The sequence below is a fragment of the Homo sapiens genome, chromosome X (genome assembly GCF_000001405.40).
Source record: "Homo sapiens chromosome X, GRCh38.p14 Primary Assembly".
Lineage (NCBI taxonomy): Eukaryota > Metazoa > Chordata > Mammalia > Primates > Hominidae > Homo > Homo sapiens.
The window spans coordinates 144,773,638-144,777,957 of NC_000023.11; the positions used below are offsets into that span (position 1 = coordinate 144,773,638).

Consider the following 4,320-nt stretch of genomic DNA (forward strand, 5'->3'; position numbering starts at 1 on the left):
GAAGACAGTTTGAATATGAAATTCTTGATTGAATGTTTCTTTCTCTTATAACACTTTAAATACGTCATCTCACTGCCTCCTGGTCTCCATTGGTTCTCATGAGAAGTTAGCAAAAAATCTTATTATGATTCTCCTGTATACACATGTTGTATTTTTCTTTTGCTGCTTCAAGGATTTGCTCTTTGTATCTGGTATTCAATATTTTTCCGTAAAGTTTCTGTGTCTGGATCTTCTGAAAGTAAAATAAATTTGGGGGCCCCAAATCACTAAGCTAATGGGAAAAGTCAATCTGGGAACTACTTAGGGCCAACCTGTCTCCCATTCTATTCAAAGAAATCCCTCTGCTCACTGAGATAAATGCATATCTGACTGCCTCCTTTGGAGAGGCTAATTAGAAACTCAAAAGAATTTAACCATTTGTCTATTTACCTATGACCTGGAAGCCTCCTGCCTGCTTGAGTCTTTCTGCCTTTGCTTCAAGTTGTCCCACCTTTTCATTGTACTTATATTGATTGATGTCTCATGTCTCCCAGAATGTATAAAACCAAACTGTGCTCTGACCCCCTTGGTGAGATGTCATCAGGGCAACCTGAGGCTTAGTCACAGGCATGCATCCTTAACCCTGGCAAAATAAACTTTTGAAATTAACTGAAACCTTTCTCAGATTTATGGGTTCACAATCTGCATTTATCCTCTTGGAGTTTTCTGAGTTTCCTCCATTTGTAGATTAATGACTTTTTTTTAATTAATTTTTTTAGCTATTATTTTTTGTATAATTTTTTCCACTTCTTTTTCTCTCCCCTTCTTTGTATTATTCTCCTTACACATATGATGGTGTACTTAATGGTGTCCTACATTTTCCTGAGTCTTTCATAACTTCTCTTCATTCTATTTTCTCCCCTCTGTTGTTTGGATTGCATAATCTCTGTTAATTTATCTTCAAGTTCACTAATTTTTTATTCTTCCAATTCAATTTTTCTATTAAGCCCCATCTAGTAAATTTTTAATTTCAGTTATTATACTTTTCAACTCTTAAATTTGTTTTTGCTTTTATAATTTCTATGTCCGTAATTGTCATTATGCCTTCCATTTCTTATTTAAACATGGTTTTCTTTGGTTCTGGGAACATGTGTATAATGGTTGCTAGAAGTGTTTGTTAAAAACAACATGTATGCCATTTCACAGGCTGTTTCTATTGTCTATTTTTTCCCCGTGTCTGTATCACACTTTCCTATTTATTGGCATATCTCATAATACTTTGTTGAAATTTGGATATTTTTCATAAAACATTATAGCCAGTTTTGACACTTATCCACACCTCCACCTGCTTGGTTTGTTGTTGTTGTTGTTTTTTGCTTATTTATTTGTTTAGTGACTTATCTGGGCTATTTTAGTGAAGTCTGTTTTCTTTTCAGTCTGAATCCTCTGATGTTGCTCCTCAAAATGGGAACTTTGGCCATGCATAATTTTACCCTGGGATGAGAGTGTTATTATCAGGGCTGTCTTGGCCTGTGTCTTTCCCCTGTCTCTTTGTTAAGCTGTCTGTTTAGGCATCACAGTCAGCTGTTAAGCAATACAAATTGCCACTGATTACTCTTTTGTTTTCAATAATGCTGTGAAGCATAAACTGCTACTCAGTGTAATACAGTTAAATTCAGGACACTTTGCAGTGGTAGTCTTTGAAAACAGTCTTGAAATTTTGTTCTGACCCATGGAGGGCTCTTCTTAGTTGCCTCTTTCCTGAGACCTCTCTGATAAACTAACTGGCCTACAGTTTAGCTTGTTGTTTTCATGAAGATGCCATTATGCTTCTTCATTGTTTACCAGCAGAATTTGCATCTTTTTCAAGCCCTTTTAGCCTTGAACTTCCTCACATGTTTCCAACAAAATCTCTTATCTTGAAAAGAGCTCCAGAGATCTCTGTTATGATTTGCCTCTCTTCCGGGCAATATCTCTGTGCCACTAGTCCAAATCTGGGGATGGGGACAATGGCCTTCTTGTCTCAAAGTGACATGCCTGTTTTTGATCAGTGAGCTAAGTAGAGGTGGTAGCTTCTAGTTTTCCTGACTTTCCCATTACTGTGCAACATCTGTCCTACAAGTAAGCTTAGGATTGTATCATCTTAAAAAAAGATGCCAACATCTTTTTTTAAAAAAAGACTAAATAGTATTCTGTTGTGTATACACCCCACTTTCTGCATCCATTCATCTGTTGATGGGACTTAGGTTGATTGCATATCTTGGCTATTGTGAATAATGCTGCAATGAACATGAGAGTGCAGATGCCCCCTTAACAAGTCGATATCAGTTTCTTTGGATATATACCCAGAAGTGGGATTACTGGATTATATGGTAGTTGTTGTTGTTGTTTTTTTTTTTTTTTTTTTTTTTTTTTTTTTTTTTTTTTTTTTTTTTTGAGAAACTTTCATACTATTTCCCATAACAGCCCTATTAATTCACATTACCACCAACAGTGAGCAAGGGTTCCCTTTCTGGGCTTCCTTTGCATTTTTCAGATAATTAGTGTGAACCCCAAATATCTGCAGGTCTCAGTCAATTTAGAAAGTGTATTTTGCCAAGGTTAAGAACACACCTGTGACACAGACTCAGACATGTGTTCAAGGTGGTTGGGGGTACAGTGTGCTTTTATACATTTTAGAGAGACATGAGAGATCAATCAATACGTGTAAGATGTGCATTGGTTCCAGCCTCAATACGTGTAAGATGTGCATTGGTTCCAGCCGGTAAGGCAGGACAACTTAAAGTGAGGGCTTCCAGGTTAGAAGCAGATAACAGACAAAAGGGTTGCATTCTTTTGAGTCCTTGATCAGCCTTCCACTGCTTACACAATTTAGCCTGGCTCAGTGAATCTGCATTTTTATATAAACGATAGGAGAGAGGAAGCAATCAGATATGCATTTGTCTCAGGTGAGCCTCAGAGGGATGACTTTGAATAGAATGAGAGGCAGGTTTGCCCTAAGCAGTTTCCAGCTTGACTTTTCCCTTTAGCTTAGTGACTTTGGGGTCCCAAAATTTATTTTCCTTTCACATTAGTGATGTTGAGCATTTTCTCATATACCTATTGGCTATATGTGTGTCTTCTTTTGAGACATGCCTATTTAAATTAAAGAGATATAATATTTTTTAAAACCAAGCAAAAACAAAGTACTTTTCCTACTCTCACTACCTAAGTAATACACCTCAGATATCAAATGTGTGTTTTTTTCCCCCACACTAAGCAAACAATTCTCCAAAGACACCAGATAGGTATCCTTTAATTCAATTCAATTATTATACTATCTACCTGGAGATAGCATCAGATTCCACAGATTAAAGGTTCAGTTCCACAAGACTGCCCCGCCCTCCACTTCAAATGCTAATCACAAGTAGTAGGTTGTCATCTACATTTTTGACTGACTGTCTATAAACCAGAGTTACCATAACCCATTCTCGGGTTCAATGAATTTGCCAGAGGTTCTTACAGAACTCAGGGAAATGTGCGACTTACATTTAGCCATTTATCATAAAATACATTACAAAAGATACAAATGAACGCCTAGATAGAAGAGATGCCTAGCACAAGGTATGAGAGAAGGCTCATGGAGCTTTCATACCCTCTCCCACGTGCCACTCTCCAGGAATACCCACATGTTCAGTTATCTGGAAGCTCATTCTATTCTTGTCCTTTTGAGTTTTTATGGAGGCTTCATCGTGTAGGCATGATTGATTACATTATTAGCCATCGGTAATCAAGTCAACTTTCTGCCCTCCCTAGAGGTCAGAGAGTGGGGCTCAAAGTTCTAATCCTCTAATTACAGGAATGGTTTCCCTGGCAACCAACCCCCATCTTAAGGCTACCCAGGAACTCACCAAAAGTCATCTCATTAGAAGAAAAGATGCTCTAATCACCTAGGAAATCTCAAAGCTTTTAGCAGCTCTGTGTCAGAAACTGGAAGTCAAAGATCGAATGTCAGAACAAAAGATTTGCCTAGCACCCCAACCTGCAAGGGAATATTACAATTTCTGTCTCAGGAACTGGGGCAGAGGCCAAATACTAGACTAAAAGATGCTCTTAGAATCCCATCACTCAGTAAATTACGAGGCATTTAAGAGCTCTGTTCCAGGCACTGGGTGAATAGACTAATATTTATATTTCTTATTATTTCATACAGGTCTTTTGCCCATTCGTTAACCAGGTTATTTGCTTTCTTGCTATTGAGTTGAGTTGCTGAATATTTTGGATATTAACTTTTTGTTAGATATATGGTTTGCAAATATTTTCTGCCATTCAAAAGTTGCCTTTTCACTCATGAAAAGGCAA

General features: G+C 37.4%; 1 annotated feature.

Annotated features, from left to right (window-relative positions):
- Positions 203-704: an enhancer, noted in NCBI's record as "NANOG hESC enhancer chrX:143855361-143855862 (GRCh37/hg19 assembly coordinates)". NCBI's record gives its function as "activates a minimal SCP1, AML or CMV promoter by ChIP-STARR-seq in naive H9 embryonic stem cells {active_cell/tissue: H9 hESC(naive)}" and the evidence as "EXISTENCE:reporter gene assay evidence [ECO:0000049][PMID:30033119]".